General features: G+C 44.3%; 1 protein-coding gene across 2 annotated transcripts, besides 1 other annotated feature; it reads right to left on the bottom strand.

The window, feature by feature from the left end:
- CAMLG (calcium modulating ligand) lies at positions 1-13,610 on the bottom strand. 2 transcript variants are annotated; one of them, NM_001745.4, is made up of 4 exons: positions 13,366-13,610; positions 10,635-11,095; positions 8,106-8,171; positions 1-1,399 (listed from the first exon to the last, which is right to left on the bottom strand). In NM_001745.4, the coding sequence occupies exons 1-4, from the start codon at positions 13,535-13,537 to the stop codon at positions 1,208-1,210; spliced, it is 891 nt and encodes a 296-aa protein (NP_001736.1). In that variant the 5' UTR covers positions 13,538-13,610; the 3' UTR covers positions 1-1,207. The 2 variants fall into 2 exon arrangements, with proteins under 2 accessions (NP_001736.1, XP_047273747.1); XM_047417791.1 differs by lacking the exon at positions 8,106-8,171.
- Positions 13,973-14,022: an enhancer, noted in NCBI's record as "active region_23161". NCBI's record gives its function as "activates an Ori minimal core promoter by ATAC-STARR-seq in GM12878 lymphoblastoid cells {active_cell/tissue: GM12878}" and the evidence as "EXISTENCE:reporter gene assay evidence [ECO:0000049][PMID:35858748]".

Genomic DNA, 18,088 nt, shown 5'->3' with positions numbered 1-18,088 from the left:
TTTTTTAAAAAGTGTATGTGTTTTTAATGTCACAAGGATTAACCAAATTAGACTATACAAAAATCTGTAAGGAAATGTAACACCAAGTGACATTAACACTTTAGTCTTATATTCTTTTAAGAAGACAACCCAACAAAATATGGCAGTTACTGAGTTAGTTAAAAGGATATTTATAAGGCCAGGTGCAGTGGCTCACGCCTGTAATCCCAGCACTTTGGGAGGCCGAGGTGGGCAGATCACCTGAGGTCAGAAGTTCGAGACCAGCCTGACCAACATGGAGAAACCCTGTCTTTACTAAAGAATATAAAAATTAGCTGGGCGTGGTGGTGCATGCCTGTAATCCCAGCTACTTGGGAGGCTGAGGCAGGAGAATCCCTTGAACCAGGAAGGTGGAGGTTGCGGTGAGCCGAGATGGCGCCATTGCACTCTAGCCTGGGCAACAAGAGCGAAACTCTGTCTCAAAAAAATAAAAACAATGTTTATAATAACTCATCTAGACCATATTTGGGGGGAAAAAGGACATTTATGCTATTGGGTTGCATGCCTCAATTCTTCACATCCCATTTTGTTTTTGCTTGCTTAAAACATACTTCTAAAAAGTGAAACTCAAATGTAAAAAGTTCCAATTCTGAGTTTGGTATACAGCAATAAAAATTTTATAAATACCTTCCAATTTCACATGTATGAATCTTTTCTTTGATTAAATACTTGTGCTGGAGTAAAAATTAAGATACTAACTCAACAAGAAAAGTTACAATGTGCAGAGTTAACATTAGACAATTCAGTTTCTTTCATTTTATTTTTCAGATGACTTCATTTCTCAGGACAGAATGACACAAACACAAGAAGCAGTCTCTAGGGCTGGCTGAGACCACATTTATCTGTTCTCCTAAAAGCACTAGCTCAGCTCCCAAAAGAAGAATTACAAATCTGAGAAGTTAGAGGAAAGGTACAGAATAGGAATTCTGATTAACAAGAAAAATCAATTAATGACATTGGTACTCTATTCTTCATATCAGTAATAATACAAACTCAGCCCTTTTAAATCAGAGAATCTGCCATTCTATATCTAATAAAGTAGCTTTACAACCCCTAAAGTAAAAGAATTACATGAAGGTGTAAACCAATTTGCCTCCTTTAGAGACACTGCAATATAGAAGAGGATTTTTTTTTTTTTGTAAGCTTCTCCTTCTCAGTTCTACAGGCTTCATGGTACTTCAGAGCCCCAATAATCAAGCAGTTCATGACAAAAGATAAAAGTGAAAAAGTAGACACAGAGATCTGTGAAGACTTCGCCCATTTTGCTATAGGTATCCATTGATCGATTTATCACTTCGGCAGGAATTCCCGACAATAGAAGTGCAGCTGTTAGTACTGTTGTCTTTATCTTCTTTTCACTCTGTGTAGAGAAAGACTCAAATTAATCTTCAAAGTTTCAGCAGGCTACATTAAGCTCTATACAAACATGATCAGTACTGCTGTTTTTAACCGAAATGATTTAAAAACTGTTAATGATGTTTCAAAACAATCAGTAAGATACCAACATTTACTGAGCATATAATATGTAACTCATCAATCTGCTAGGCAATAGCAGACATCAGTCTTGCTTTTTTTTTTTTTGAGATGGAGTCTCGCTCTGTTGCCCAGGTTGGAGTGCAATGGCACGATCTCGGCTCACTGCAACCTCTGCCTCCCGGGTTCAAGCGATTCTCCTGCCTCAGCCTCCTGAGTAGCCGGGATTACAGGTGCTTGCCACCATGCCCGGCTAATTTTTGTATTTTTAGTAGAGACAGGATTTCACCATGTTGGTCAGGCTGGTCTCAAACTCCTGATCTCGTGATCTGCCCGCCTCAGCCTCCCAAAGTGTCAGGATTACAGGTGTGAGCCACTGCACCTGGCCCAGTCTTGTTATTAGAAGTTTTTAAAAAGTGTTATCTTGGAAGTATGACATAAATAACAATTTATGATATATACAACAGTACAATATAAAAACAAGAAAAATATTACTAGACAGGACATAAATAACTGCTAAATGACTGACATGGATAATGTGTGACATAGGAGCTCACAGGAGATATAAATTACTCCAGTGTTTTATGTAAATAAAGCACAAGGAGGACTTCAGAGGAAGTAAAATTAAAAACAGGCCTTCAGGCCAAGTGCAGTGGCTCATGCCTCTAATCCCAGCACTTTGGGATGCCGAGGCTGGGTGATGGCTTGAGCCTAGGAGTTTAAGACCACTCTGGGCAACATAGGGAGACTCTGTCTCTACAACAAATACAAAAATTAGCTGAGCATGAGCCTGTAGTCCCATCTACTCAGGAGGCTGAGGTGGGAGGATCTCTTAAGAGGTTGAGGCTGCACTGAACTGAGACTGCACCACCGCACTCCAGCCCACATGACAAAGTGAGACCCCCGTCTCCAAAAACAACAACTAAAAACAGACCTTCAAAGAAGAGCAGGATTTAGACTGGCAGAAGTGAAAGTTTTTTGAAGCGTTAAGTCTCAGGACAAGTTAGAGGCAGAAGAATGCTTGGAGAACAATGAGTAATTTGTCACAGACTTATAGGAATGTAGGGCCCTAATTGTTATGCAAAGGAATCCACACTTGATTACACATCCAATAGGGTATCACTGAACAATTCAGTATACTTCTGGTGGAAGAGAGAACATTTACTTATTAATTTTCTAGTCTCATTTTTTTAAGAGATTAAAAGCTGAATTTTTCTTTATTATCACAAAATCCAATCATACGGTTTAAAATATTTTTAAATATAAAAACCTATAGTTGGCCGGGTGCAGCGGCTCATGCCTGTAATCCCAGCACTTTGGGAGGTCGAGGTGGGTGGATCACAAGGTCAGGAGTTCGAGACCAGCCTGGCCAATATGGTGAAACCTCGTCTCTACTAAAAATACAAAAAAATTAGCCAGGCGTGGTGGCACATGCCTGTAATCCAAGCTACTTGGGAGCCTGAGGCAGGAGAATTGCTTGAATCTGGGAGGCAGAGGCTGCAGTGAGCCGAGATCGTGCCACTGCACTCCAGCCTGGGTGACAGAGCAAAGCTCCATCTGAAAAAAAAAAAAAACCCTATAGTTACCTAAAAGAAATGAAAGCTTATGCTCACAAAAAGCCTCATACAAGAAAGCTCTTAGTTTTAGTCATAATAACCCCAAAACTGAAAACAACCAGGATGTCCATCTATAGGAGACTAGATAAATGGATATAGTCATACAATGTAGTATTACTGAGCCAAGAAAAAAAAAGGAATTAACTACTGATTTATCCAACAACATGGATAAATCTCAAAAATATCATGCGGAATAAAGAAGGCTTGCACAAAAAAGTAAAATCAAGAATGATCCCACTTACATGGATTACTATGCCAGACACAACTAATCTATCGTGGGAAAAAGTTCTTTGGGGTATAGGGACTGGGACTGCCTGGAAAGGAGCATGAAAGAAACTCCTGGGGTGACAGTGAAGTTATAAACCTTGAAAGAGGTATGGGTTTCATAGGATAACAAACGTATTAAATGGTACAATTAAGACAAGCATTTCAAGCAATCAATTAATTACGCTGGTACCCTACTCTTCATATTAGAACTAATTTTTTTTGTTTGAGACGTAGTCTTGCTCTGTCGACCAGGCTGGAGTGCAATGGCAGGATCTCGGCCCACTGCAACCTCCGCCTTCTGGGTTCAAGCGATTCTCCCACCTCAGCCTCCCCGGTAGCTGGGATTATAGGTACCCACCATCATGCCCGGCAAATTTTTGTAGAGATGGGGTTTCACCATGTTGGCCACACTGGTCTTGAACTCCTGACTTCAGGTGATCCGCCCATCTCGGCCTCCCAAAGTGCTGGGATTACAGGTGTGAACCACTGCACCCGGCCTCAGAACTAATTTTACCTTAAAATTTTACCTAAAAGCCAGGTGCGGTGGCTCACACCTGTAATCCCAGCACTTTGGGAAGCGGAGGTGGGCGAATCACAAGGTCAAGAGATAGAGACCAGAGACCAGCTAATTCTAGCACTTTAGGAGGCCGAGGTGGGCAGATAATCAGGTCAGGAGATCAAGGCTGTCTTGGCCAACATGGTGAAACCCCGTCTCTACTGAAATACAAAAAAAATTAGCCAGGTGTGGTGGCACATGCCTGTAATCCCAGCTACTTGGGAGGCTGAGGCAGGGGAATCGCTTGAACCTGGGAGGCGGAGGTTGTGGTGAGCTGAGATCTCGCCACTGCACTCCAGCCTGGCGAAAGAGCAAGACTCCATCTCAAAAAAAAAAAAAAAGAAAGAGACCATCCTGGTCAGCATGGTGAAACCCCGTCTCTACTAAAATTACAAAAATTAGCTGGGCTTGGTGGCGTGTGCCTGTAGTCCCCGCTATTCGGGAGGCTGAGGTGGAAGAATCGCTTGAACCTGGGAGGTGGAGGTTGCAGTGAGCCAAGATTGTGCCACTGCACTCCTGCCTGGTGACAGAGCGAGACTCCGTCTCAAAAAAAAAAAAAAATGCCGAGCATGGTGGCTCATGCCTGTAATCCCAGCACTTTGGGGGGCCGAGGCAGGCGGATCATGAGGTCAGGAGATCGAGACCATCCTGGCTAACACGGTGAAACCCCGTCTCTACTAAAAATACAAAAAAAAATTAGCCGGCCGTGATGGCGGGCGCCTGTAGTCCCAGCTACTTGGGAAGCTGAGGTAGGAGAATGGTGTGAACCCGGAAGGCGGAGCTTGCAGTGAGCCGAGATGGCACTCCAGCCTGGGTGACAGAGCAAGCCTCGTCTCAAAAAAAAAAAATTACCTAAAGAACCTTAAAACAGTAAATTGTAAGTCAGTGTTATGTAAGAGGGGTGAGGTATACCGATGTGTACACCTACAACATACTTTGAAATGCATCAAGAAAAATTTGATGGAAAAACTTTACAGAGATTATCTTGGGTTTGAAAAATAAAAGAAAACCTGATAGATACATAATATAATAAGATGTTAATTGTAGAATCTAGGTCGTTGGTATTATATAAATGGGTGTTCACGGCACAATTCTTTCAACTTTTGTGTTTATTTATTTTTGAGATGGAGTCTTGCTCTGTCGCCCAGGCTGGAGTGCAGTGGCGCTGTCTTGGCTCACTGTAAACCTCTGCCACCGGGTCAGCAATTCTCCTGCCTCAGACACTGAGTAGCTGGGATTACAGGTCTGTACCCACCATGCCAAGCTAATTTTTGTATTTTCAGCAGACATAGCGTTTCACCATGTTGGCCAGGTTGGTCAAGAACTCCCAGCCTCAGGTGATCTGCCCACCATGGCCTTCCAAAGTGCTGGGATTACAGGCGTGAGGCACCACGCCTGGCCAACTTTTGTGTTTAAAAACTGCTATAACAGGCCAGGTGCAGTGGCTCACACCTGTAATCCCAGCACTTTGGAAGGCCCAGGTGGGCAGATCACCTGAGGCTGGGAGTTCCAGACCAGACTGACCAACACGGTGACACCTCGTCTCTACTAAAAATACAAAAATTAAGTGGGTGTGGTCACTCACACCTGTAGTCACAGCTACTTGGCAGGCTGAGGCAGGAGAATGAACACAGGAGGCGGAGGCTGCAGTGAGCTGAGATCGTGCCACTGCACTTCAGCCTGGGCGACAGAGTGATACTCTGTCTCAAAAACAAACAAGCAAAAAAAACCCTGCTATAACAAAATGCTGTTTTGTTGGGAGAATATATAAAGTCTCCCTTTTCTCTCTTCCATTTACATAGTACCCATATATACATCTCTATCACACACATAAGTATTGTTAATAATTTCATGTATAGTCTTTCAGTTTGTTTATGCATATATAAGCAAAATCAAATAATACATTATTTTTTCTTTTCAAAAAGAAATTAGTATAGATTCTATAGATTCTATTCTGAATTTTGTTTTTTTTTCTCTTAATATTTCTTGGAGAGCTTACCATTGTCAGTACATTGAGAGCATCTTCATTCTGAATAGATACGTTATAATTTTTTTTTTTTTTTTTTTTTGAGATGGAGTTTTGCTTTGTTGCCCAGGCTGAAGTGCAATGGTGCGATCTCGGCTCACCACAACCTCCACCTCCTGGGTTCAAGTGATTCCCCTGCCTCAGCCTCCTGAGTAGCTGGGATTACAGGCATGCGCCACCATGCCTGGCTAATTTTGAATTTGTAGTAGAGACGGGGTTTCTCCATGTTGGTCAGGCTGGTCTCGAAATCCCGACCTCAGCTGATCCGCCCGCCTCGGCCTCCCAAAGTGCTGGGATTACAGGCATGAGCCACCGTGCCTGGCCAATTTTTTTTTTTTAATGTAGTCACTCAGTGGACATTTAGGTTCCAAACTTTGCTACTGCAAAACTACAATCAATGTTTCAAAGGTGATTTTCTTTTTTTTTTTTTGAGACAGTCTCGCTCTGTTGCCCAGGCTGGAGTGCAATGGCACAGTCTGGGCTCACTGCAACCTCCACCTCCCAGTTTCAAGTGATTCTCCCTGCCTCAGCCTCCCAAGTAGCTGGGATTACAGGCACCCGCAACCATGCCTGGGTAATTTTTATATTTTTAGTAGAGATGGGGTTTCGCCATGTTGGCCAGGCCAGTCTCGAGCTCCTGACCTCAGGTGATCCACCCCCCTCAGCCTCCGAAAGTGCTGGGATTAGGGCGTGAGCCACGGCGCCCAGCCTCAAAGGTGAATTTCTTTCTTTTTTTTTTTTTTTTGAGGAGTCTCGCTCTGTCGCCCAGGCTGCTGGAGTACAGTGGCGCAATCTCGGCTCACTGCAAGCTCCGCCTCCCAGGTTCACGCCATTCTCCTGCCTCAGCCTCCCGAGTAGCTGGGACTACAGGTGCCTGCCACCACGCCCGGCTAACTTTTGTATTTTTAGTAGAGATGGGATTTCACCCTGTCAGCCAGGATGCTCTCGATCTCTTGACCTCGTGATCCACCTGCCTCAGCCTCCCTAAGTGCTGGGATTACAGGCGTGAGCCACCGCGCCCCGCCTCAAAGGTGAATTTCTAAACAAATGCTTAATTAAAATTACAATGTTATTTACTCTTTTACTTCTTATATTTGACCTATTTGACCCTTCAAAAATACAAATGCTTCAAATCCATTAAAATCATACACAGGTCTGTCAGCCCATTAAATATAACACGCAGACAGCCAAGTAGCAATTTTTTCAGCAAAAAGCTCCCACAAAATTCGATCACACTAGTTAGGCTATCGTCTATGTCAGGCAAGCCAAGCCTCATAAAACTGTATATATCTGTAGTCAAGTAGGCCAGGTAAACATTGACTCTCAACATCATTCTGTTCTGTAATATTGGCCAAATATTTATTGCAAATATCAGGCCCTCAACACTGAAGATAAAGTGCACTGCTATTAAGTGTCCAATATGAAGTACAATGAGATAATCAAATCCATTTTTTAATTAATTTCCTTTATTATAGACAAAATGAATTACTAAATTTACTAATTAAATTTAATACTTTGCTTAAACAAGTACTATTCACACTTTTTCATGAAGGACCTCAATCCACAGTATTTTTGTAAAACAGAATAACAATGTTATGGCAATGTCAAATTGCTATAAAAGTTTCTAATTACTCTTTTTTTTTTTTTTTTTTTGGAGACAGAGTCTCACTCTGTCACCCAGACTGGAGCAGTGCAGTGGCGCAATCTTGGCTCACTGCAACCTCTGCCTCCTGGGTTGGAGCAACTCTCCTGCCTCAGCCTCCTGAGTAGCTGGAATTACAGGTGTGCGTCACCATACCTGGCTAATTTTTGTATTTTTAGCAGAGATGGGGTTGCACCATGTTGGCCAGGCTGGTCTTGAACTCCTGACCTCAGGTGATCCACCCACCTCAGCCTCTTAGAGTGTGGGGATTACAGGCGTGAGCCACTGCGCCCGGCCAATTACTCATTTTTTGAACTTAATGTATAACAAACACAAACACATAGTTTGGAGATAAGTGGGCAAACCACACTTTGAGTAGCACTGATTCAGACCGTAAGCAGGACTAACATTTTTAAGTTCCTTCAATTAGCTAGTCATAAATCAATCCAAACACATCATCGAAATTTAGAAAAAAAATTAATTTACCTTGGGAAAATATTTGTATAATCCCATGTACGCAAGTTGTAAAGTAAGAAATGGAGCAAATATGGACTGTGAAGATAGAAGATAAAATTAAATATTTCCAACATAATCATTCAAATCACAATAAATCAAACAGCAGCTAGAAAATTCCAAGCAAAAGCTGTAAGAAAATGTTGTTATTATTATTTTTTGAGACGGAGTCTTCCTCTGTCACCCAGGCTGAGTGCAGTGGCACGATCTTGGTTCATGGCAACATCCACCTCCCAGATTCAAGCGATGCTCGTGCCTCAGCCTTCTGAGTAGATGGGATTACAGGCGCCCGCCACCACACCTGGCTAATTTTTGTATTTTTAGTAGAGACAGGGTTTCACCATGTTGGCCAGTATGGTCTAGAACTCCTGACCTCGTGATCCACCCACCTCGGCCTCCCAACATGCTGGGATTACAGGTATGAGACACCGCGCCTGGCAATTGCTTTTTTTTTTTAAGATGGAGTCTCGCTCTGTCACCCAGGCTGGAGTGCAGTGGCTCAATCTCAGCTCACTGCAACCCCTGCCTCCCCAGTCCAAGCAATTCTCCTGCCTCAGCCTCCCATAAAATAGTAATTTTAATGGTTAAAAGTAATCTTTTTTCTGCAGAAGGGTGAAGAAAATAAAATATTTGATTTCCTAACATAAAATATGTTTCTCAAGTCATACAATTCTTTCATATTCTTTTAGCGTCCCCAAAACTGTCTTCTCTCATAAAAACTTATCTTTTAAATTATTTAAAGTATTAAATGGTGACAGATGTTTAACACAGTAACACAGATGCGGTAACATCTCGGTCACCCAGAGGGAATTAATTGATATCCAGGAAGCATACAGAAAAGGCCCAGCACTCAAAATACGTGGCATTCTTCCAGCTATGCAGAAGGCTGAGGCAGGAGGACTGCTTGAGCCCAGAAGTTCTAGTCCAGCCTGGACACCATAGCAAGATCCTATCTCTAAAACAACAACAACAACAAAACTAAATGCTTGGCTGGGTGCGGCGGCTCATGCCTGTAATCCCAGCACTTTGGGAGGCAGAGTTGGGTGGATCATGAGGTCAGGAGATGGAGACCATCCTGGCTAACACGGTGAAACCCCATCTCTACTAAAAATACAAAAAATTAGCCGTGCGTGTTGGCACATGCCTGTAGTCCCAGCTACTCGGGAGGCTAAGGCAGGAGAATCGCTTGAACCCAGGAGGTGGAGGTTGCAGTGAGCCAAGATCACATCACTGCACTCCAGCCTGGCGAAAGAAACTCCACCTCAAAAAAAAAAAGATTTACAAAAACTGTTTTGCTTAATGATATAAACTTTAATTATCTGGATATTTATGTGCCTGGTACATATACTTAAAATGTCTACTGAATGGAAAAACCTCAGAGCAAGACACTGAACTATGAGCTATGCTTTTCTGCATTCTTTAATATACTATAAAACAAAATGACTACATCATGGTACAACCAAAATGGACTCATTATGATATATTAGGAAATGCTGAAATGTCTTCTGAACCATAGGAAGATTACCTCATATTCAGGACCAGAGGAACTGCATTTTACTATTTCAAATTATTTGAAAATTGATAATATACAGTATATATATGTAAAGCACTTAACCCTTTGGTTAAGGACTGAAACTGCCAGGGTTTAATCCTAGCACCGCTTAGTAGCTGTGTGACCTTGGGCAAATGGTTTAACCTCTCTGAGTCTTCATTTCCCAATGGATTCACATAATACCAAGTTCATAAGAATGAGGATTAGATGAATTAATGTATGCAAAACAATGAGAAAGGTCCGTAGAATGAAAAATGGGTTTTAGTACAGTCATCCCTCAGTATCAGCAGAGGACTGGTACCAGGTTCCTCCTGATACCAAAATCCATAGATGCTCAAGTCCCTTATGTAAAACGGCACAGTAAATATAACCTACTCACTTCCTCCCATATACTTTAAATCATTTCTAGATTTTTTATGCCTAATGCAATGTAAATAGTTGTTATACTGTTTTTATTTGTATTATTTACTATTTGTTATTGTTGTATTGTTATTTTTCCCCCAAATATATACACATACATATATTTTTGAGACGGGGTCTCACTCTGTCACCCAGGCTGGAGTGCAGTGCCGTTATCCTGGCTCACTGCAACCTCCACCTCCCGGGTTCAAGCGATTCTCCTGCCTCAGCCTCCCAAGTAACTGGGATTACAGGCGTGCACCACCACGCCCGGCTAAATCCAAATATTTTCAATCCACAATTGGTTGAATCCACATAGGGTGCAGAACCAACTGATATGGAGGGCCAACAGTAATTATTAGGCTCTGTATTTAACCAGAACACTTCATTCTATGAGATGAATAGCAAAGTTAATAATATATCTTCAAACAGCCACATGGATCTGGTAGATATTAATACTGGCAATGACTTCTATGATCAAAAGCACTCATAATTATTAACATTTTGCATTTTCCATTAAGTTAGTTAATAATTTACAGATCTTTTCTTACCAAGTATTTGCAAACAAAAGCTCTGACTCCAAGAGCAAGAAGAGCACATCCCACCAATCTAAATATTCGAAAAGAGTCAAATTCTTCTGTTGTATTTCCATCCTCTTGACTGGGTTTTTCACTAATCAGCTGTTTCCTTAGCTTCATTGCTTCTTCGAATCTGGAAAGGTACTGCTCTAGGCCATGGCGGGAACCCCTCTGGACCGAGTCCGCTGTCAGGTCCCCTCTGTTCCGCTGCCGGAGCTCAAGGTTGACATCACTACTGCACTCAGGTGGTTTAATGAACGAGTCCAATTTGTCTCCCAGTTGGGTCCCCTTTACCTCGGCCACACCACCCTGCTGGTCAGTTGTTCCTGTACTGACTGAATCACCCAGCACTACTCGCTTTGAAACGGAAGGAACGCTGAGGGAGTTCAGTTTATCACTGTCCTGCTGCTTTGATTTTGTTTGACTTTCTTCTTCTGAGAAAAGAAATGTAAAAGCCTTATGTATTTATTCCATACTGGCAAACACCTTACATGTTTATGTTTTAAAATATGCTGTTGCAGCTAGAACTCAGCAGCCTCTGCATCAAAATAAATAAATACCGATTCTGCATTAAAGAAAAGCTGGTTTCGGCCAGGTGCCGTGGCTCACGCCTGTAATCCCAACACTTTGGGAGGCTGAGGCGGGCGGATCATGAGGTCAAGAGATTGAGACCATCCTAGCCAACATGGTGAAACCCCGTCTCTACTAAAAATACAAAAATTAGCTGGGTGTGGTGGCGTGTGTCTGTAGTCCCAGCTGCCTATAGTCCCAGCTACTCTGGCTGAGGCAGGAGAATCACTTGAAACCCGGGGGGAGGAGGTTGCAGACACTGCGCCACTACACTCCATCTGCATCTGCCTGGCGACAGAGTGAGACTCCATCTCAAAACAAAAAAAAGAAAAAAGCTGGATTCTTCCTCTACACCCTCAAAATGTATCACCCAAAATGAATATTCTGCAGAGGAAATAACCCAAACTTTGTGGGTAGGAGATAAGATTAGTAGACAAACTGGGAAAGATATTCAGAGATGGAGCAAGCTGAAAAGACCAACTTTTTATGGATAATATATCCCAGATGTATGATTGCATTGCCTGCCTTAGCTTATTTGGTTAAAAATATAAAATCAGTAAAGCCTTTTAAAATCTATATTTTAAAATTAGATTTCTGAATCCAGTGCCCTATGAGCATAGGGTGTGGCATATCCCAAAGCTACTGTTTATGTAGTCAGGCAGCCATTAGTAGGCACTTCAGCAGTTTTAAGACACTACTCTGGGGTTTTGTTTTTGTTTTTGTTTTAAAAAAAAGGCCAGGCACAATGGCTCACACCTGTAATCCTGTAAGCCCAGCACTTTTGGAAGCCAAGGCTGGTGGATCACTTGAGCCCAGAAGTTCCAGACCAGCTTAGGAAACATAGTGAGACCCCCCCATCTCCACACACACAATTTTTTTTTAAATTAGCCAGGCATGGTGGTGTACACCTGTGGTCCTAGCTACTCCGGAGGCTGAGGTAGCAGGATTGCTTAAGCCCAGGAGTTTGAGGCTGCAGTAAGCTATGATCATGCCACTGCACTCCAGCCTGGCCTACAGAGGGAGACCCTGTCTCAAAAAATAAAACAACCTTTAAAGACATAAAATTTTCAAAGCAAAAGAACAAAATATAGAAAGTACCTCAGGTAAGATCATAAATAATGCTTTAAGAATAAATAGCCCGATAGAAAAATGTTTCTTCTATTGTTCTAGAAGAATTTGAAATGGTTTTCTTACCTCTCATTTGAACTGCCTAAAAGTTCAGAGCTATACACCTAAAGCCTTACAGAACAAAAGTCACAAAGATATAAGGAGCTTGCGACCAGTGACTAAAGGCCAATTACTAAAGGAAACACTGGAAACTTAGATAACACTAGGGCGCGCTAATTGCTCAATTATACTCACGTGAAATAAATTTTTTTTAAAGAAAATCATTGGACATGTGTTTGGGGGAGGAAGGAGGCGCTCTCCTTAGAAATGCAGCTCCAGACATCAATCACAACAATATCCCCTCATGAGGAGAGGAAACTCTCAGGTGTGCACTTCGCACTTGCTGGGTCTCTGAAGAATGCTCACTCTCACTTTTCCCACCTTTTCTAGCCGGCCCGTAGGTGACAGTGTTGACGGCACTGAACACAAACACTAGGATATGAGCACAAGAGTCCCTGATACACGTAGGATGAACTAGCGGGCAGTTCAGTAAAGACAGGCTGATGTGGGCGGACAGGAGTTACACAGCAAAAGGCAAAAGAAGGTAGACGCTAGAGAAGGCACTGTAAGGAAAAGCACTTGGAACCTTAAGAAGGAAAGCCATCTTCCTAAGGGGAGCAGTAGACATGACAGTCTGGGGATACAACGTGCGCCCTTCAAGAAAGGCGAGGAGTGGCTAAGGAAAAAAGGGGCTGTTCAACGTAACTGGGAAGAGGGAGTGAGAGCTCTGCAGGCAGGGTGGGGAAAATCTCACGGCGAGGCCCCGGGAAAATTGAGGGGAGCGACTAGGAACATCCTGGGGTTCAGGGATGAGAACTTGGGATATCACCGAAGGGGCGGGACAGAGAGGAAATCAAAGAGCAAGGCTTGGTCAAAAAGGTCAGAGGAGTGGAGGTGGGAGAGGGAAGAATGACCCTGAAGATTCAAGGTGATGGGCGGGAGACTGAGGGGAAATCGAGGCTCTTACCCGCGCCGCTCCCGGGCCTGTGAAAGCCCATGATCCGGTTGATGCGCTGTTCCGAGTTCATGAGCAGCTTTCTCCGACGCAGCTCCGCCCGACGCTGGGAAGCCGACAGACCTGAGCCCGCTGGGACCCCCGGCCTCTCCCCGCCGTCGGTAGCGACGGCCATCGACTCCATCCTCCCGTCCACAGTCTGGGAGGGGTGGCAGTGGCGGTGATGTTGGCCGCCGCTGCGAGGGCGATGACTAGAGGCCGGGCCGCAGGGCGCGCGTCCCCTTCCCACTATAGACCCGCCCCCGAGCGCGGTCCCGGAGCCTGTGAGCTAAGCACTCACGCACCGCCCCACGCGACCAAGCGCGAGGCTCTGGCCGCCATCTTGAGTGAGGGCAGCGCTGGACGCCCTCGTGCCTCCCCAACTCTTCTGGCCCTCACCCAACAGCCCCCTCTGCTGTTCACTCGGAGGTGAAGAAAACCAGCACCCAGGGCCGGGAGTGGTGGCTCACGCCTGTAATCCTAGCACTTTGGAAGGCCGAGGCGGGCGGATCACGAGGTCACGATTTCGAGAGTAGCCTGGCCAACATGGTGACCCCCTCCCCCCTCCCCCCACCCGTCTCTACTAAAAATACAAAAACTTAGCCGGGCGGGGTGGCGCGCGCCTGTAATCCCAGCTACTCGGGAGGCTGAGGCAGGAGAATCTCTTGGACCCAGGAGGCGGAGGTTGCAGTGAGCCGAGATCGCGCCACTGTTCTCCAGCCTGGGCTACAGAGCGAGACTCTGTCTCGAGAAAAAAAAAAAGAAAGAAAAGAAAACCGGGAGTGGGAAAGGGATGGCAGTAAGTAGGTCAGCCTAGATTTGGTGCCAGGAAGCAAAATGGAGGTTGCAGCGGCAGTCGCTTGTTTACAGACCCGCGGCCTCGCCTGTAGGCAATGGGAATACGTAACCCTGGGAGCCGCACTTAAAGGGAGCCTTACGCTGGGATTTGTTCTTGGTGCCTGTTCCTCATCCTTAACTTCTCTACGGCAAAGTATACGGCTGATGTGTTCCTAGGCTTTCCTCGCGTTTTGTGCGTTTTTATTCAAATTAGAATTTCCCATTGAAACCTTTCGTGCACATTCTATCTAAATTGCCAACACTCCCCATTCCCCTTCACCTTGTTTTTTCTCCTTGTCGTTCATGACCACCTCGCATGCTAAAGATGCTCCAGCCTGGGCGACAGAACGAGACTCCGTCTCAAAAAAAAAAAAGGAAAAGAAAAGAAAAAAACAAAAAGGCCGGGAGCGGTGGCTCACGTCTGTAATCCTAACTTTGGGAGGCCGAGGCAGGCGGATCACCTGAGGTCAGGAGTTCGAGACCAGCCTGGCCAATATGGCAAAACCCCGTCTCTACTAAAAATACAAAAATTAGCCTGACCTGGTGGCATGCACCTGTAATCCCAGCTACTTGGGAGGCTGAGGCAGGAGAATCGCTTGAACCTGGGAGGCAGAAATTGCAGTGAGCCGAGATCATGCCACTGCACTCCAGCCTGGGCGACAGAGGGAGACTCCGTCTCAAAAATACATATATAAAAGAAATAAATAAAATAAAATCAGAACAAATGACTGGGCGCGGTGGCTCATGCCTGTAATTCCAGCACTTTGTGAGGGCTGAGATGGGTGGATCACTTGAGGCCAGGAATTCGAGACCAGTCTGGCCAACGTGGCAAAACCCTGACTGTACTAAAAATACAAAAATTAGTCGGGCTTGGTGGCGTGTGCCTGTGGTCCCAGCTACTTGGGAGGCTAAGGTGGGAGGATCACCTGATCCTGGGGAGGTTGAAGCTGCAGTGAGCAATGATCGGGCCACTGCACTCCAGACTGGGTGACACAGTGAGACCCCATCTCAAAAAAGTTTTTTCAGAAAAAAATAATATATTTGCTATATTGTAATGGATCCAGTCTGGATTATAGTCATCATTAATAGCAATACAGTCATAAAATATAATTTTAAGTATGTTTTCAGGCAGGAAGGAGCCACAAAGGCAAAAGAGCTTAGGGCCCTTGAAAGTCATAATGCAGCCTTGGCATTCAGTAATGACTTACTAAGTGAATGATTAGATGAATGAAGGAATTGAATCCATCAACCCTTGCTAACAGGGAGCATGGCCAGTTCACACCTGAGGCTGAGGAGGGTTTTGAAGCAGCTTACTGGGTGGGCCCCCTGCAACTAAGCCTGCCACACAATCACCCTCAAAATAAGGAAGTGGGTGAAATACCACTTAGAAGATAATAAAATACTATATTTATATTAATACTGAAAAAGAAGTGAAAACAAAAGAAACTTCGGTTTGGATTCAACAACATAAGGAGCTCAAAGAATATACAGACTGAACTTTCACCCTTGATTGGATGAAAGTTAAATCCCAGGGACATCCACTAGTTAATAATTTTAAAGTATTAGAGGAAGTTCTTCTGCATATCTGCACAGACATAGATCTCTGAGCCCTAGACTTCCTTAAAACAATTTTACACACAACTGAAAATAATGGAAATAACTGTCAAATAGTAACAAATGTGCAGAATTTGATGAGGCACAGCCCTGATCAATCAAGACGGTTCCAGAAAGGGTTTGAGGAGCTAAATTAGAATTATAGTGTTATATTCAATGATATAAGCATCAAGCAAATTATTTCCAAGTAATATTTCATTCCTCCTTGAAACTGAGGAAGCCGTATAACTGAACTTGAACAGAATTATAAAAAATGTCTGGGCTGGCATGTGGGAGGTCCAGGCAGGAGGATCACTTGTGGCAAGGAGCTCAAGACTGACCTGGGCAACATAGTGAGACCCCCTTCTCTATTTAAAAACAAAGAAAAGAGATCGGGAGGCCAGGTGCGGTGGCTCACACCTTTAATCCCAGCACTTTGGGAGGCTGAGGTGGGTGGATCACTTGAGGTCAGGTGTTCGAAACCAACCTGGCCAACATGATGAAACCCATCTCCACTAAAAATACAAAAATTAGCCAGGCATGGTGGCACACACCTGTAATCCCAGCTACTCGGGAGGGTGAGGCAGGAGAATCACTCAAACCCAGGAGGCAGAGGTTGCAGTGAGCTGAGATTGCACCACTGCACTCTAGCCTGGGCGACAGAGTGAAACTCTGTCTCAGAAAAACAAAAAAAAAGAGTCCAGGCGCAGTGGCTCACACCTGTAATCCCAACGCTTTGGGAGGCCAAGGTGGGAGGACTGCTTAAGCTTAGGAGTTCAAGACCAGCCTGGGTAACATAGTGAGACCTCGTCTCTAGAAAAAAAAAAAAATCAAAAAATTTAAAAAAATTTAAAACGAGGCAGGAAGTTTGCTGCAATGAGCCATGATTGCATCACTCCACAACCACCTGGGTGATAGAGCTAGACCTTGTCTCAAAAGAAAAAGAGTAAAAGAATGAATTGATGAAACTGCTTAAAAGAAATTCAAGAACAATTTTCAGAAATTAGCAAATTACTTCCTCTAAATTCCATAATGAGTCAAATTTTTATTTTTATAAACACAGGGTCTTACTCTATGGCCTAGGCTGGAGTGCAGGGGCACAATCATAGCTCACTGCAGCCTACAGCCTTGAACTCCTGGGCTCAAGCAATCCTCCTGCTTCTGCCTCCTGAGTAGCTAAGGCTACAGGATTGAGCCCAGATAATTTTTTTTTTTTTTGAGATGGAGTCTTGCTCTGTCGCCCAGGCTGGAGTGCAGTGGCGCAATCTTGGCTCACTGCAAGCTCCGCCTCCTGGGTTCAAACCATTCTCCTGCCTCAGCCTCCCAAGTAGCTGAGACTACAGGCGCCGGCCACCACACCCGGCTAATTTTTTTTGTATTTTTAGTAGAGACGGGGTTTCACCGTGTTAGCCAGGATGGTCTCGATCTCCTGACCTCGTGATCCGCCCGCCTTGGCCTCCCAAAGTGCTGGGATTACAGGCATGAGCCACCGTCCCCGGCCGAGCCCAGATAATTTTTTAAAAAAAATTTTTTGTAGAGATGGGGTCTCTATGTTGCTGGTCTTAAATTCCTGGGCTCAAACAATCCAATCTTCTCAGCCTCCCAAAGTGCTGGGATTACAGGTGTGAGCCCCTGGACCCAGCCAGAAATTTTATTTCAATAATTTTCTCAAGTATAGTTGTTAAACACCCTTAAACACTCAAAGTTTAAAAGAAACAGAGTGAATTAACAGTTTCAATAGGAGACATGTCAATAGTCCTCTCCTTAATGAGAATGGAGCTTAGTATAACAAACTGAAAGCCAAGTAATGAACCTCATGAAATAAATGTAATTTTAGATGGTACTGAATATTTTGTTTTACAGTATTTATTTATTTATTTACTCTGTCGCCAAGGCTAGAGTGCAGTGGTGCCATCTCTCGGCTCAGTGCAACCTCCACCTCCTGGGTTCAAGCTATTCTCCTGCCTCAGCCTCCTGAGTAGCTGGGATTACAGGCGCGCACCACCATGCCCAGCTAATTTTTGTAATTTTAGTAGAAATGGGGTTTCCGCATGTTGGCCAGGCTGGTCTCCAACTCCTGACCTCAGGTGATCCACCTGCCTCGGCCTCCCAAAGTGCTGAGATTACAGGCGTGAGCCACCGCGCCGGGCCTATATTAACTTTTAGTATGTTATAAACACTGCAAAACAGGCCGGGCATGGTGGCACACGCCTGTAGTCCCAGCTACTTGGGAGACTGAGGCACGAGAATCGCTTGAACTCAGGAG

Source organism: Homo sapiens, chromosome 5 (genome assembly GCF_000001405.40).
Source record: "Homo sapiens chromosome 5, GRCh38.p14 Primary Assembly".
Taxonomy (NCBI): domain Eukaryota; kingdom Metazoa; phylum Chordata; class Mammalia; order Primates; family Hominidae; genus Homo; species Homo sapiens.
The sequence above is the reverse complement of the archived record's forward strand: the minus strand, read 5'-3'. Positions and strand labels throughout refer to the sequence as shown.